The 17,111-nt window shown below is 50.0% G+C and overlaps 1 protein-coding gene across 12 annotated transcripts in view, besides 1 other annotated feature; it reads right to left on the bottom strand.

Moving 5' to 3' along the window:
- The window catches only part of MPRIP (myosin phosphatase Rho interacting protein), a 150,187-nt gene that overhangs the window by 130,309 nt on the left and 2,767 nt on the right, over positions 1 to 17,111 (bottom strand). The window lies entirely within an intron of this gene.
- Positions 5,732 to 6,371: an enhancer, noted in NCBI's record as "H3K4me1 hESC enhancer chr17:16959278-16959917 (GRCh37/hg19 assembly coordinates)". NCBI's record gives its function as "activates a minimal SCP1, AML or CMV promoter by ChIP-STARR-seq in naive H9 embryonic stem cells {active_cell/tissue: H9 hESC(naive)}" and the evidence as "EXISTENCE:reporter gene assay evidence [ECO:0000049][PMID:30033119]".

Genomic DNA, 17,111 nt, shown 5'->3' with positions numbered 1-17,111 from the left:
TGGCACTTACCAGTTATTATTTAAGGGAGGGGAAGATGCCTGCCTGACCGAGCACGCAGGACTTCTGATATAACCCTGGCAGAGTGGCTTCAATAGGGGAGATCTTGGTCATTCCTGGCAGAACAAGAAGTAGGTGTAGTTAGGGAACCCCTACACTCTACTGTCCACCAACAGGACCTCACAGCTCCAGGTATTTAATGTACACTGGCCTGGGAACGAGAAGGCCAATTCAAGTCTTGGCTCCACCACCTACTCGATGTGTGGCCCAGGGCAAGGCAGTATCTCTGTGATTCTCAGTTTCATAATCTACAGTAGAAAAATACACATACTCCTTCCATGCCATTTTTTATTAAAAAAAAAAAATGATCATGTCAGACACAAGCATACCCTAGGTAACTGCACAATCAAGAATGCCTCAAGGTCAGGAACATACACCCAACACTTGTACTGGTACTCAAACCAAAGCAGTGTTCACGGGAGTGCTCCACAGTGGAAGGAGCCAGTGGGAGCCCCAGAACAGCACCGGTCAGTCCAAGGGCTGCTGGGCTCCTGCTTCTGAGGGTGGGGCAGGCACCCAAACCCTACGCTGGCTCCCTCACACCAGGCTCCACCCCAGACTCCAAGCAGAGTGGTCATCCCCAGGAAAGTTCTTCAAAAGGAAAAGTTCCACACAGTCCTGAAGAAGGACCCACACCTGTAGGGGCTGATGCCCCAACTCTGGGCAGATTCTTGGGGCAAAGACTTCTCTGGACCAAAGGTGGGGGTGGGGGCTGCACTCAGGCACTGGATGGGACAGATGGCCCCTCACTGGAGTCACTGAAAGATCCATAAGCAGAATGCGTGCAAACCGTGGCTAATATATCCTCTGTAGTTTTCAGGTTGATTCTTGCCCTTTTCTTTTTCCCAAAAAGGTGTCTGTGGAAACACTTCCACACTCACAGCAAATAGGCTGTTTAATAATGTTCTCTGCATTTCAATTCCAAAGAGAAAGGATACCTGGGTAGCAGCCGTCTGGCCCTCTTTCTAAGCTTGTAAATCATGGGAGACTTCAAGGTTGTCCGTCTTTTCTGGGACATTCTGATGTAAGTCAGTAAAAGTCAGGGGTGAGCACACAGCAAAGTCCAGTCTCAAGCCTCACCCCTGCCAAGACCTTGTGTGTCCTGTGGCCACCCAGATGGACTGCAAGAGGATCAGTGGCTCTGAATCTCAGCACTTGGGGAGGGAAGCTTCTTGGCGGAGCTGTGCCCACCTGCCTCACCCACAGTGGGTTCTCAGCACACACCTCTGACCATGCTCAGAATGGGGGCTTCTCTTTCAGAACAAGCCTGCCAGGGCCGACGAACACTGGTCACCACTGCAGACCCCTCAAGAGGCCACAGGCTTGTCCTGTGTTGACCAAACTGTGCTAGAACTACTAAAAGTTGTCCATGGGGCCTTGAGTCCTGGAGAATACTGTTCTATTGCTCTACAGCCACACAGTTGTGGACCCAAACTACCTTCCTCAATATAGGCTTCCACAAACAGCCAGCCACTGTGCAGATACTAAAGATGGAGCTACAGCCCCCGCAAGTGTTTCAACATCATCAGGACCCAGAGCCCTGTCCCGGGAGGAAGCCAAGCCTCCGAGGGAGAACACCTGCTCACCAGCTGCCAGGAATGCATTCTGCAGGGAGGACATACATCCCAGCTATGGGAGCACGAGGGCAGGTCTGCACTCCTCCCCGCTGGCAGTGGAGCTGACCCCAGGGCTTAGGGCATATGAGCTCTCATGACCTCCATTTTATACCCCAGGAAACCGAGGCACACAGAGACTCAGTGGTCTGTCCAAGTAAATAGAGCCAGGAAGCAGTGGAAGCAAAACAGGCACCAAGGCCACCTGGTTCCACACTGGCCCTGGCCCATGGGACACTCCTCCCCAGTTTAGCAGGCCATTCCAGAAGGTAAAGGGTGACACAGGTGAAGGGCATGTTCCCAAGTGAGATGTGCTCCCAGGGGTAGGGGTCTGGTCCTCACCAGCACAGCACTCAGTTCTGCCCCACATCCATGCAGCTGGGGCCACGGCCCTGGGAGGCTGCAAGTGGGGGCTTAGGGACCCGGTGGGGCCCCAAAGCACATTGCCCATGAGGCACACATGGAAGGAAGAGCCCTACAGCCTTTACTTCCAGATGAGCCAGCCACAGACCACCCTCCTGCAGCACACACCCAGCCTGGCCATCTGCGCAGGAGGTCAGGAAGCTGGCGGAGATTGGGGGCTGTCCTCCAGAAGGACTCTTTCCTACCTGTGCAAAGACATCAAGGCTGGGTGCAGGCTACCACCTCCACCCACCCCAGGAAAAGCTGGGCCAATAAGCCACCTACTTCAGAGCCTCATCAGTAAGGTGCTCAACGTAATTTATTGTCTTAATTGGGAGTACTTGGGGAAGGAAAAGGGATTCTGCTAATTATGCCAGGACTGCTGGTCCCAGAACTCAGAACAGCCATGCCCACCCGGGACCCTGCAGACTGCAATTGGCTCACCTCCCAACTGGGCCACTCCCCATCCCCACATTCTGCTGCTCTCTATGGAGGCAGGTCAGGGATGCCCCTGATGTCTACCAGCCTCTGCAAGGCCACTGATGCAAAGTTCGCAAAGCCTCTGGGAATACCAACAAGGAGACGAAGACACGAAAGGTGGTGCAAAGGGAAAGGAACTCAGCACCATGCCAGGGAGCAAAGGGGAGGAGTGTGGGAGACTTCCCTGGGAGGGGGCAAATGACAGACTTCAGAAATGGAAGTCAGGGGACACCGTCTGTGGGAAGCTGACACAGCCACAGCCGAGCAGGCCCCAAGGCAGCGGCGCAGCCTGGAACAGTGAACTGCACTGCCCCTCCTATAGAGGCCGGCATGCTCCTCAAGCCCATGGCCCAACTTAAGCTCGACCAGTGGTCTGCAAAGGTGGGAGTCCCTGAGGCCCTTTTTGGGGTCCCTGAGTCAAAACCATTTTAATAAAAATACTAAAACATCCTTTGCCTCCTCTCTCACTCTTTCATGAGTGTACAGTAGAGCTGCCCAAAGGCTACACAGGACATGCTATGGCCACAGACTGTAGAAGCTCTGAGAACCCAGCTGTCTTTCATTATGGCAGACCGTAAAGAGCTCTGCAAAGAGTTAAAAATGTGAGGCTTTTCAGCAAATTTTTGTCTTAGAAAAGTTATTTTTCAGAATATATGTTACGTGACTACATAATAGGCTTATTGTTACTTTTAAGTGAATTCATGAATAAACTTTTTCAGTTTTAACTTCTAATACAAGAAATACCAATGGACATAACCCAGGTAAACTAAAGCGTTCTGAGGGCCTCAATAATCAAGAGCATAAAGGGGTCTGGAACCCAAAAAGTTTGAGAACTGCTGACCTAGCCACCCACTCCCCTAGCACGTCCCCACCCCTTCTGCACCTTTGCTTGGGGAGCAGCCCTGCTGATCCCACTTCTCAGTTGCCATGTGCCCAAACACAAACTTGCCTTTAAGTCTATCTCCTGGTTTCTACTCAAGAGTCCTTTCTATCCAACAGCACTGCCTTAAAAGGCGACATCTAACCCCAGACTTGCTCCTGGTGGCTGTGTTACATATGGTCCATCTGGAAATGAAACAGACTCCAAGGCACAGGCAGACAGGAAAACCTTTCTCTCAACAATGCGGACCTCTGCCTTGGTGAGGAGGCCAGGAGGAGGGGCTGTGACAGAGGCAACACCTGTTTCTCAATGGACCTGGAGCCCTCCCTGGGTCCCCACTCCCCACAGTCCCTGGAGCTCTCCTCCCTGGGTCCCCACTCTCCATGGCCCCTGGGGCTCTCCTCCCCGGGTCCCCACTCCCCACGGCCCTGGAGCTCCACTCCCCGGGTCCCCACTCCTAACAGTCCTAGAGCTCTCCTCCCCAGGTCCCCATTCCCCACGGCCCTGGAGCTCCCCTCCCGGGGTCCCTACTCCTAATAGTCCTGGAGCTCTCCTCCCTGGGTCCCCATTCCCCATAGTCTTAGATCCCCTCCCTGGGTCCCTGCTCCCCCTGGCCCCTAGAATCCTCTCCCCAGGTCCCTGCTTGCAAAGAGGGGCTTGAAGGACCACAAACATAAGCACCTTTACTGTGCCACAGGACTAACGTCCCTGAGCCTGTGGAGAGGAGTCAGAAAAGCAGGGGACTCCACTGGAATGTGCTTCTGTCCGTGTTCCCTAGAACAGCTCGACCAGCACTGGTGTGAAGGGCAATGCCTGAGCTACCCATCTGGGCCTCGGCTCCCACCCCTAAATCATCTCAGGTCACCTCTGTGAAAGGGATACCACTGGGGAGGGGCGTGAAGGATGCTTTGAATGGATGTCAGTGTTCTCTTTCTTAAGTTGGGTGGCAGGTTCACGAGCATTCATTTTTATTATTTAGATTTATATTGTAAATGTATGCTGCTTGTATCCTTTTGTGTACATCCAATATTGCATTCTATTAAAAAATATTACTGCAAGTATTAGAGTATATCAGCGGCTCTTCAAACTGTGAAGATCCCTGGAGGTCATGCTTCAGGGGCCACCTCGGGTGTAGGATGGGGCAGCGGGTGGGGGTCAGGGTGGTCTCATAGCTGATGCCATTCCTCTTCCTGTCCTTCAACATGAGAACATTCGTGCATCATATATGTGAGCTCCACGTTTCATTTCAAGGGGGTGGGTGTTTTGCTGCCAAAGAAATAAAGGTTGAAAACTGGTAACAGTGATGAACAGCGTAGCAAAGGCCTTTTCCCTCTAGCTGACCCCAAGGTCCTCTGGGGACCACTGTGGGGCTCTGTGGGCCCTCTGCCAGCAGCTCCCAGCACCTAGCACTGGGAAGGCACCGCGTCTCCCTGGGGTCTCCAGCCTTCAGCTCCCATGCCCCACAGCCCTCCTTCCAACAATGTTTAAGGATTAACTTGCCTCTTTCTTGGCAGTCAGATGATCTTCAGGTCAGACAAAAAGGGAAGAAAGAAGGCGTGTACCTCCGAGCAGCTGAGCCACCCCTGCACCGCCCCGTGACACTGCCTCATGGCGGCATTTCATGTGTGCGACTCTTGAGGGATGGTCCAGGAACCCAGTTTCCATCCCAGACTCCTCTGTGAAGAGCCCCAGGCTCTGGGCAGGCCTTATTTGGGACCCACCCATAGCCCTCCCACCCAGCAGTCTGCAGGGCTGACATGTGGCTCCAGGTGCTGATGCCAAACAGCTCACTGACAGAATGGCCACAGGCCAGCAAGTCCTCTCCTGGGGTCCGCTGAAAGGAGGTGTTCAGACAAATGCCCGCACACCTGTGTTCACAGCAGCACTATCCACAACGGCCAAAAGGGTGAAGCAATCCCACTGTCTACCATCCATACAAGGAATGAATTCTGACCTGTGCTGCAAGGTGGATGAACCTTGAAAGCATTAGGCCAAGTGCAAGACACCACAGACAAAAGGTCACATATGGTATGGTATGATTCTGTTTTGATGAAATTTCCAGAATAGGTAAATCCATTGAGGCACAAAGCAGATTTGTAGTTGCTGGGGACTAAAGGCGGGGGTGACTGCTTAATAGTTAAGGTGGGGGGTTCTTTTGGAGCAATGGAAATGTTTTCAACTGAAGAGGGGTGGCAGTTGTACAATACTGTAGGCTAAATGCAATGGAATTGTACATGCTAAAATGGTTAATTTTATGTTGCGTGAATTTCACCTCAAAAAAAAAACCCCTCAAAACCAAGGAACCACACACACAGTTCACCCCATCATAGCACGGGGACAGCAGGGCCCACAGCTGCTGGCTGGCTGTAAACTACCCCCAACTCCCACTGGGCTCCTGGCCTCCCTCTGCCCACACACAGGTCCTGCAAGCCCAGCCCCGGCCCCTGCCCCTGCTCCCCACTGTATTCAAGCTGGAGGGGGAAAGTGACATTTTAAAAGCCTCTTCCCTGTTTGGTCTTGACAAACAGCCCGTGGCCACAGGATTTTTGGAACATGACGCCATTCATGGCAAAGGGAAGAGGGCTGGAGAATGCGTGGGGACAAATTTCTGGGGCAACGTCTTCGCAGGGAAGAGTCACACCCTGTTCCTCAAAAAGCCGTCCTTCCCATTCAGAAACAGGTAGGACAGAAGCACGGTGGAAGGAGGAGCAAAAAAAGGGCAGGAAAGCTAAATGAGGTCAGCCCCACCCTTCCCCGCACATGCCAAGGTGGTCAGCCCCGCTCCTGGACACTAGGGGCCAAGGGGGCCACACACAGCCAGACATTGATGGTCTCAAGGCCAAGCTCAGTCCTCTCGAGTCATGTGGAGACAGGGAAGGCCTGGAGTCCCACAGCTGGGTTTCCTCCCGGCTTTGCCACCAGAGGAGCTGCTCTAGGCATATTATACTACCTCTCTCTACCCTTCTCTTAACTCCGCCTTCTGAGACTGCTGGAAATATAAATGAGCTAATAGTGGCCTGGCACATGGCAATTCCTGTCAGCTATGAATACCACCAACAGCGCCACAAAACAATGCCAGGGCAGGCCACCCTTCAGCAATTTCCGTATAGGAAAACCTCCACACCATAGAAGGCCAGGTGCTAGCTGGCCGGGCCCCCTAGGAAGAGGACTCCTAAGCTCCCAGGCTCACGGGGTTTCCAGGCGGGAAGGGAGATGTGGAATTGAGAAGTAGTGGGCTGTCTGCCGAGGTGACATCTGCCTATTAGAAGAGCTCGTTCTCAGGCTCAAAAGAAGAGACTCCTCCTGTTTAGATCTCATAGAAGGGTCCCCTCAGCAGAGGTGCCTTTCCCTGCAAGGGTGAATGACTTGTAAAGGCTGGGGGTAGGGTGGACAGAGAGGCTGGAAGGACCTGCCTGCCAGCTGAGGGGACCCACTCAACACTGGTGACCAGGGGGCCACGAAACGTCCTGGCCAGATCTCCCACCCACCCAGTGATTTGGGACTAGACCCGGCTCCCCAGCTCTGGGATCCTCTCTACCTTCCTTGGGCATTTCAACCAGGCCCGGCACAAGGATTTTCCTTCCCAGACAACTGCAAGGCAGTTGCTCCATGGATACGAGTGGGATAAGCATGGCTTCTCTTAATCTTCTCCCACACTGCCCATGGCAACTCATACACCCATCAAAGAAATTCCTAAAATTGGGATCTGCTCTGCCCTTCATGGGACCTGCATGACTTCTCTGGGCTTGACAGGGGCACAGAAGTGGCCTCTAACATTAAATCCTAAGCTGATGAAGCCTGGCCCCTTCACTTCCTACCCTCTAAAAAAAAAAGAAATTTTTTTTTTTTTTTGATACAGGGTCTCGTTCTATTACCCAGGTTGGAGTGCAGTGGCGTGATCTCAGCACACTGCAACCTCCACCTCCTGCCTCAGGCAATCCTTCTACCTCAGCCTCCCAAGTAGCTGGGACCACAGGCATGTGCCACCAAGCTTGGCTATGTTTTTTACTTTTTTGTAGAGACAGGGTTTCCCTGTCTTGCCCAGGCTGATCTCGAACTCCTGGGCTCAAGCAATCTGCCCACCTTGGCCTCCCAAAGTTCCGGGATAACAGGTGTGAGCCGCAGCACCTGACCTAAAAATTCTTAAAATCAGTTCAGTCCTTACACAGCAGGTCCTCAAATAATGCCATTTCATTCAACATTGATTTGTTATAACAATGTTGAGGAAAAAAAAAAAAGAATTCCTGCACCCACTGCCTGTGTGGAGTTTGTGTGCTCTCACGACTCCGTGGGTTTTCTCTGTACTCTGCTTTCTTTCACATCTCAGAGATGTGCACATTCAGTGAACTGGACATCTAAGTGGTCCCAGTCTGAGCAGGTGTGGGTGCAAGTGTGTCCTGTGATGGAACGGCGTCCTGTCCAGGCTTTGTGCCCTGGGAGAGGCTCCAGCTACCGGTGACATTGAACTGGAATAAGCAAGCTGGAAAACGCATGAATGAATACAGGTAACTGCCTACTAAAAAGTCATCAAGTCTACGATAATCACACAAACACATGACAATAAACTATGCAGTAAGAAGCACTCAGCCAGCCCACCGCTTTTGTCCTTGTTTTTGAACTTCCTGGTGGTAGGAGGTATGCCTTACAATTTTCACTTTGCAGACATTTATTCCTTGATTTAACCTACCACCATGACTGTCATCACTCACTGTCATCACTCACCAAAACTTGTATAGATAATGATCTTACTTGTTTTTATTCATCTTCCTGAAATGTATATAATAGCTCACATGTATTTCCATGTTTAATATTAGAAATACTTTGGATCTTTATTTAGAAGTTTGGTTAATTTTTATAACCTGAAATATGCCGTAGAAACTTAAATCCTGTTTATATCAATTAGCTTATGATAAAATTGGTTTGGTTGTGTGTTGTTATGCTTACAGTAGCAGTTTCCAAGAGCCCATCAATGACGGTGAGGACTTACTGTACTTACACATTCTGAAAAATCAAACACACACAAGGCAAACTGACTACTTCCTTCCAGTCCTCAAGGGGCTGACATAAGAAAGCTGCTAGGGTGGTGCAGAGCAGCTCAGTGGGAGAGGAGACAGCCTGAGCATCTGTTTAATGGGCATGGGCCTGAGCTTCTGTTTAATGGGCATGGGACAGACAGAAACAGGTTTGAGGGCCAGCTTGCCCACAAAATCACAGTGGAAGGTCCCCTCCCTGGGCTGTTTTCTCTGCAGTAACCTAAGAGGGATGGGGACCTGGTGCTCCCCGCACTGCCCCTGCCCCATCTCGCCCATGGCCTGGCCCATGGTGGACATTCAAGAGCAGATGGGCCAGCATGCTAAGTGAGAGCTTCCCAAGGGCAAGATCCGTGTCCCACACACAGCTCCATACTACATGGTTTATTGCTGATAAAACGGACCCCATTTACTAAGCACCCACCATATAACCCAGTATTTACAAACTCTGCCCTTGCCACAGATCCTGCGGTTGCTGAGGACTTTGGAAGCATCTTCCTGCATCCTCATCAGGACCCAAAGCCATGGGTACTATTATTATAACCCCCCAGTTTTCAGATGAGGGGCATAGATGCTTCAGCTCTAAGTAACTTGCTCCATTAGCATGGAAAATGGAGCTAGAATGGAAACTCAAATCTGGGCTCGCCACCATTCCAATTCCCTTGCCTGGGCGCACTGAAATGAAAAGTGGGACTGTGTCAGATTTCTAGGTCAGAGCAGGTCCCCAAGCAGAAGCCATGCAAATGCCCTGACCCACCCCTCCCGCGGCCCTGAGGCTCCTGAGCCTCAAGTGGCTCACCCAGTCCTGATAGTGAGGCTCTGGGTATGGCATCAGGAGACCCAGGAGACATGGCCCCTTTCTCTGGCTCAGCTGGGGCTCCCTGCAGCTGCTCCCCCTTCCCTTGGCCCCTTTATCTATGGGAAGGACCACGAGGAGGTCAGAAACCTTGTGTGGAAAGTGCGCCACGGTTGCTTGTGGGTCTGTTAAATCCAGTGCCTCAGAACCTACAGAGATCAAGGACAAAGCTATTTCCTGATTCTGAATTCCTCTTTCAGAGGAAAAAATTGTGCTTCCTGTTCAGAGCTGTGCCAAAGGTGTGGCTGCTGCCTAGGCCAGTAGCCCATGTTGGGGATGTGGGGCACCCCGAGGCTGAGGAGAGGTGAAGATCTGGGCGATGCCCTGCACAACAGCCTGCACCGTTCACACACACGCCCCACCACACACTCAAGAACTAAGGAGTCCAAGTTGGGGCAAGGCCCTGTTCCTGATAGCAAAGGTTAACACTTATTAGAGACAAGGTGGCCAAACAGGACTTTGGAAAAAATCGTGCTGGACTTCCTGTGACCTAGGCAGGTCGCTGAACCTCTGCTGAACCTCTCCAGGTCTCGGCGGCTCCATCTGCTAATTGAAGACAATCCCTCACCTGCATAATGTGGGGGAAAGGCAGGGAGGGCAGGTGCAGACAGCCCCAGCAGGTCCCTCTTCCCAGGGCTAGGAACTAGAAGTCCAGGAAACAGCTGTGATTTATTCTGCAGCACTGCAATATACCAATCTCCCTACTACCCATCTGCCCCGGGGCCAAACAAAAACACTAAGGAGTTTACAAAGCAAAGTGGCCTTCCCAAGGACAGGGAGGATGAGTCTGGAGCCAGGGTGGAGTCTGGAGCCAGGGTGGACTCTGGCACGGGAGCCTCATGGAGCTGAAATCTGTATCACGGCCCCATTGCTGAGCAGCTCAGTGACCTTGGGCAGGCCGCTCAACCACTCTGAAAACTCAGGGTCCCCTCCTCCGAGGGAGGCCTTGCTGCCACCAGCCCTGCTGGCCACCCTTGCCTGCTGAGGTCTGTGTGAAATCACGGGCTATGACACAATATAGTAGGTAGAGGTTCAAAGGATCCGGCAGGCCCATCCACTCAGAGTCTCGCTGCAAAGCAGCTCTGACACCAGGGCCACCTCTGGCACAGCATGCAACCGCCAAGCTGCGCCCAAGGGGAAGGAGCCAGAAGGGTTACAGGCTCCAGGCAAAAACCAGGCTGTGGTTTCATGTGAACTAGGATGACCCTGACTGAGAAAACCAGTGAGTGGTTTGGAAGATTTCAGTTCCAGCTTCCAGAGACAAAATGTCAGTGAATCAACCCCCTAGGTGCTCTTGCCCCCAACGGAAGTGACAATGCCTTGAGAGCTCTGGGTAGGGCATGGGGGCTCCATTCCAGAGCAGCTGTAAGACTGCCTCAATTGCTAAAACTGGAAAAAGCACAAAATCTAGGGCAGAGTTTTCGAACCTGCCCCAAATGGCCCCAGAGATGACCCAAGGCCCTCCCCCGCCACCCCGCCCCAGGATGGGAGGCCAAGCTCCAGGCTTTGGCTGCCTTGCCCAGAGCTGCACTGCTTTTGATGAAAGCTTGAAAACCATCCACCTGGTCCAACGGTGTCATTCAGCTGAGAAAGAGTGGCTTGGGGAATGAGTTTCCCAGGATAAGAGAAGAGCCCGTTTTCTTAGGTCAGATGCTTCCAAATTAGCACCCAATGATCCTCCATGTCCAGTAGTAGGATGTCTTCCCCTGTGCCTCGCTGCCACACTCTCTCCCTCTTTCAAGACTAAGTGGCAGCTTGGGAACAATTTAAACATTCTGAGTTAAATTTCTTTATTTCTGCTAAAGAACATGAGGTTGCCCAAAGAAAGGCTACTTCCCCCAGAGGCGGCAGCCAGCGTGCTTCCTGGAACATCCCTCACCACATGGGGGGCTCAGGAACTCCCCATTCCATCAGCACACTACTCTGCAAAGAGAAGGCAGGCACCCGCTTTACAGGTGGGAGACATAAGTCACCTTCCTGGGTCACCCTGCACATTTGTGTCAGGAAGAGAACATAGGCCTTGGACTATAGTCCTTCTGTGTGGCAAGGGAAAGAGAAATCAGAGGAAAAGATCAGGTAACAGGCTAGAACCCAGGGAAAAAAGCTAGGGTGCAATTACATAATACTGGAACATTGCACGTCCAGTTTAGAGGGGGATACGCCAGCCTGCCCACCACGGCCCTCACCGGCTCCCCACAGGACAGGCCTGAGGCCCTGGCAAGGACCTTCCTCCCTTCTGCCCCTAAACTCTGCCTCTGGGCAGGGAGTGGGGATCAGAGCCCAGAAGAGAACTTCTAACACACCAAAAGAAGCCATCAAAGATGTGATAGTCAAAGAAAGAAACTTCAAAAGTTGGCAATAGACACCAAGGGCCAAGGAGGAGTGGGGACACAAACAGGAGTAACAAGTCCCAGAGAAGCAGCACTCCAGGAACCTTCCAACCCAAGGCCCAAGGGAGGGACGGAGGAAACTCACCACCACCTGTGGCACCCCAGGGCTGCCACCAGGACTGCGGGCAGCGGCCACACCACCAGGCTACTAAGCAGTGGGAAAGTGGCTCGTCTGAGCTGAAATGTGCTGTAACGTAAAATGCGCACGTCATAACTTTTTTGCATGGTGTAATGACAGTATTTTGGATATATCTGGTTAAATAAAACATAATTAAAATTAATTTCACCTCTTTTTTTTTTTTTTTTTTTTTGAGACGGAGTCTCACTCTATTGCCCAGGCTGGAGTGCAGTGGCGCAATCTCAGCTCACTGCAAGCTCCGCCTCCCGGGTTCACACCATTCTCCTGCCTCAGCCTCCTGAGTAGCTGGGACTACAGGCGCCCACCACCACGCCCGATTAATTTTTTGTATTTTTAGTAGAGACAGGGTTTCACCGTGGTCTCGATCTCCTGACCTCGTGATCCACCCGCCTCGGCCTCCCAAAGTGCTGGGATTGCAGGCGTGAGCCACTGTGCCCGGCCCCGACTAATTTATTGTATTTTTAGTAGAGACGGGTTTCACTGTGTTAGCCAGGATGGTCTTGATCTCCTGACCTCGTGATCCGCCCGTCTCGGCCTCCCAAAGTGCTGAAATTACAGGCGTGAGCCACTGCACCCGGCCCCTCTTTTTACTTTTTTAACGTAGCCGCTGGAAAATTTAAAATTTCCTATGTGGCTTCCATTACAGTTCTAGAGGACAGGGCTGGTCTGAGGGGTGGCACACTGTGCCCCTGTGCCAAATTGGCCCACCAGCTGCTTTTCTAAGACCCCAAAACCAAGAATGGCTTTTACATTTTTAAGTGGCTATATCCTACACAACCTCCTCGATTTTGCCTGTTGGCCTGCAAAACCTAAAATATACAAGATTTCTTTTGAGTAAAAGGCTCCGGGATTTGATGAAAGCTTGAAAACCACCGACCTGGTCCAACTGTGTCATTCAGGTGGGAAAGAGTGGCTTGGGGAAGGAGTTCCCCAGGATAAAAGAAGAGTCCTTTATAAAAAAAATTGCCAAGCCTTGGTCTAGACTCTAGAAACAATCAGATATTCACTCCAGGTGACACAAGGAGCAGAAGGCAGGTGTGTGTGTGTGAGAGAGCGATTCTTGTACAGACAGTCCCTGACTTATAATTTTGACTTTGTGATAGGTCTGATGGGTTTTACCTGGATGTACCCCCACCATAAGTCCCATCATAAGTCAAGAAGCATTTGGAAGTGAACAATTCAGGGGCATTTAGTACATTTCACAAGGCTGTGCAACCAGCACTTTTATCTAGTTCCAAAACATTTCATCACCCCCAAAATAGAACCCCAGTCTCATTAGCAGTCATTCCACATTGCCCACCCAACCCTCAGGCTCTGGCAACAACCGATCTGCTTTCTGTTTCTACAGATTTACCTGTTTTGGACATTTTACATAAATGGAATCACACAGTATGTGACACATGACCTTTCATGTCTGCCTCTTAGCGCAATGTTTTCTAGGTTCGTCCATGTTGTGGCATGTCTCAGTACTTCGCTCCTTCTTAGAACTGAATGATATTCCATGGTATGGATACACTATGATTTGCTTATCTACGCATTAGTGGATGGACACTTGGATTGTTGCTGCCGTTTGGCTATTGTGAGTAGTGCTGTTATGAACATTTGTATACAAGTATCTGTTTGAATACACCTGTCCTCAATTCTTCTTGGCATATACCTAGAAGTGGGAATGCTGGCTCACGTGGTAGGTTTTATGCTGAACTTTTTGAGAAACCCCCAAACTGTTTCCACAGCAGCTACACCATTTCATTCCCACCAGCAACGTGCAAGAGTTATAACTTCTTCACATCCTCGCCAACATGTTATATTCTTATTTTTTTAATTCTAGCCATCCTGACAGGTATGAAGTGATATCTCACTGTGGTTTCAATTTGGGTTTCGCTGATGACAACGCTGAGCATTTGTCATGGTGCTTGGCCGTCTGAAATGGGATTTTGTGTGTCTGAGATTTTTGACACGCTCCCTGCCAAGCAACACACCAACTCCTGTTACAGATCTTCTACAAGGGGGGGATGCGAAATCTCCCCGTTGTTTCTGAGATACACATTAAGTCAAATCAGGAAGTCCTATGCCTTAGAACTTCTACGAATGTCTACAGGAACAAAGGGAAACCTGATGAAATGCTTCCCTGAGACCTCGTCCTGGCCCACACCCTCTATGTCTGAAATTCCCACCTGAGGCCCCCGCAGCTTTGGAGCCTTGGCAGTGGGGTATGGGCACAGCAAGGGCAGAATCACACCAGGAAGACTAAGAACCCTGGGAGAGATCAAGACCGAGCTCATTTCCAGATGGGAAAACAGGCCTGAGCAATGAAAATGACCCAGCCAAGGTCCCACAAAAAAACAGGGCTAGACAAAGAAGTAGAAACAGGCTTGCAGGCTCCTTCCACAGAGGCAATGCCTGAAGTTACACAGTCAGCAGGAGAAAGAGACATCACCCCCAGATCAACACGCGGATGTAGAAGCTGAGCACCCTGGGTTCCAGACCTGCTTCTCCCACTAATGCCCACCCCTCTGATTCACCTCCCAGCCTCTGCACCTGCTCCCCTTTTGCCTGCCCACTACATGGGGGCTTCCTAGGCTGGTTCCTCTCCTTTCACTCTATGCAGCCTCCTGAGTGCTCACACTCACTCCCATGATTTCAGCAACCACCTCCACATCCAAGACTTAAGAATTCCAACCCAGCCTCCCTCTACGTCCATAAGGGTCAAACTTACCATATTATTTTTTACCCCTCCCCATCCCCCAAGTTTACTCCAAATCTGTTCTTCTCAATCTCTGTTAAAGGTACTTCTAACTACCCCAGGTTCCTCAACACCCACCTCTGATCAACCAACAACATCCTGTCCCTAGAGTCTGATTCCTTCCATCCTCACCAGCACTGATCTGGAGAGAATGCCTTGATTGTAATTTACCCAGTTTAATAGCCTCCAGTAGATCTTCTGCCTTTAACCAGAATTATTTTCCTAAAAAACAAGTCTGATAGATTAAAAAGCTAAGTATAAAAATAGCTATAAAAGAATATGAGAAATTATTTTACAAATCTTGGAAAGTAGGCCTTAAACATGACATTAAAACTACAAACTATTAAAAAAAAAGACCAACTGCATTTATATTATGAAAAAGAAAAATAACCACACAAAAAAGACAAGTGGCATTCTGGGAAAAAATACCTGCAATACGTGGCAAGCATCGGATTAATATCTAGTTCAGGGTCAGCAAACTATGGCTCACAGGCCACACATCATGCCAGCTGCCTGTTTTTGTAAATAAAGTTTTTTAAATTTATTATTATTATTACTTTTTTGAGAAGGAGTCTCACTTTGTTGCCCAGGCTGCAGTGCTGTGGCACGATCTTGGCTCAATGCAACCTCTGCCTCCTGGGTTCAAGCAATTCTCGTGCCTCAGCCTCCCAAGGAGTAGCTGGGATTACAGGCATGTGCCACCACACCCAGCTAGTTTTTGTATTTTTAGTAGAGACAGAGTTTCACCATGTTGGCCAGGCTGGTCTTGAACTCCTGACCTCAGATCATCCACCCACCTCAGCCTCCCTAAGTGCTGGGATTACAGGCATGAGCCACTGCGCCCTGCCGGTAAATAAAGTTTTACTGGAACACAGTAACTCATTCGAACTCATTCGTTAATGTGTTGTCTACGGCTGCCTTTGTGATGAGACGGCAAAGTCTGCACAGTTGTGACAGAGACCATATAGCCCACAGACACTAAATTATATTTACTATTTGGCCTTTTACCAAAAAAGTTTGCAGACCCCTGACCTAAAGCACTTATAGAAAGCTCCTACAAATCAACTGGGGGAAAAACTAACCTTACAGAAAAATGGGCAAGCAATACGAACAGGCAATCCACAAAAGAAACAAAAATACTCAGTAAATACTATAAAAAAGGCTCAACTTCATGAGTAATTAGGAAAATTATTAGAGAATTAAATCATTTGATAATATCCAGTCCTGGAAATGTTATCACACAGCCTTTTTTGGAAGGCAATTTCGTGGTATCTGAAAAAAAAAATTTATGCGCTTGATGTCAACCCAGCCATTCTATTTATAGGTATCTGCCCCCAGAGAAATACTTGCATTCATGCATGCACGCACACACACCCAGAAGTATTTATAAGACTCTTTGCCGAAACATTCACTGTATGTAACAGCAAAACCCATAAGCAACCTTGATGTCTATCAATAAGGAAACGGGTTAAATTATAGTACACTCCTAAAGGCCTAATATGCAAAATGGTTCTGGCATCTTTATATGCAACACCATGAAAAGAACGTAAAGATATGCTGATAAGCAGAAAACAAAAAATATGTCGCAGAGCAAATACATGCACACAGTTCAGGATAAAAAGGTTTAACTGTATATTTGAGCTGGGCACAGTGACTCACGCCTGTAATCCCGGCACTTTGGGAGGCCGAGGCAGGCGGATCACGAGGTCAGGAGATCAAGACCATCCTGGCTAACACAGTGAAACCTCGTCTCTACTAAAAATACAAAAAATTAGCCAGGCATGGTGGCGGGTGCCTGTAGTCCCAGCTACTCGGGAGGCTGAGGCAGAAGAATGGCATGAACCTGGGAGGCGTAGCTTGCAGTGAGCTCAGATCGCGCCACTGCACACCAGCCTGGGCAACAGAGCGAGACTCCGCCTCAAAAAAAAAAAAAAAACTGTATATTTGGGTCCGTATGTCGCTGAGAAATGCACAGGAAAACTGGAGGATAAATGACACTCTGTGAACAGGGGCCTGGAACAAGTAATAAAGGACGGTCACTTATCACTTATCCCAGATTACTCCAAATTTCCGTGAGGAGGAAAAGGCAAAGAACTCCACTGCTCCAAGCCAGCATTCTCAAGGCACCTCCTGCAACATAACTATCCCTGACATTATTGTCCTCATCATGTGCTCATGGTGTGGCCACTGTAGACCCTGAACAGGAGTAGGGGAACTAACATTGGCTTCAGAATCCTGGCTCCATCCCTGAACTGGGCAAGTCACTTCCCTTCTCTGGGTTTCAATCTTCTCACCGGTAAGAGGAAGTGGTTACATTAGCTGATCTCCAAGTCCCTTCCAGGTCTGATGCCATAATACAGTCCCTGCAAGAGGTTTCTGTGCCTCTCTAGGGGAAAAACAAACAAACAAAACCCACAGCTGAGGAAATAAACCTCAAACCAAAAGGCTCAGAGAAATGTCTGCTCCTGGGAAGATGACATCTCCAGAGCAAAAGCCGGCCAAGGCTGCCCACCACCTCCC

The sequence above is a fragment of the Homo sapiens genome, chromosome 17, assembly GCF_000001405.40.
Source record: "Homo sapiens chromosome 17, GRCh38.p14 Primary Assembly".
NCBI lineage: Eukaryota > Metazoa > Chordata > Mammalia > Primates > Hominidae > Homo > Homo sapiens.
This window is presented reverse-complemented; position numbering and strand designations above follow the sequence as displayed.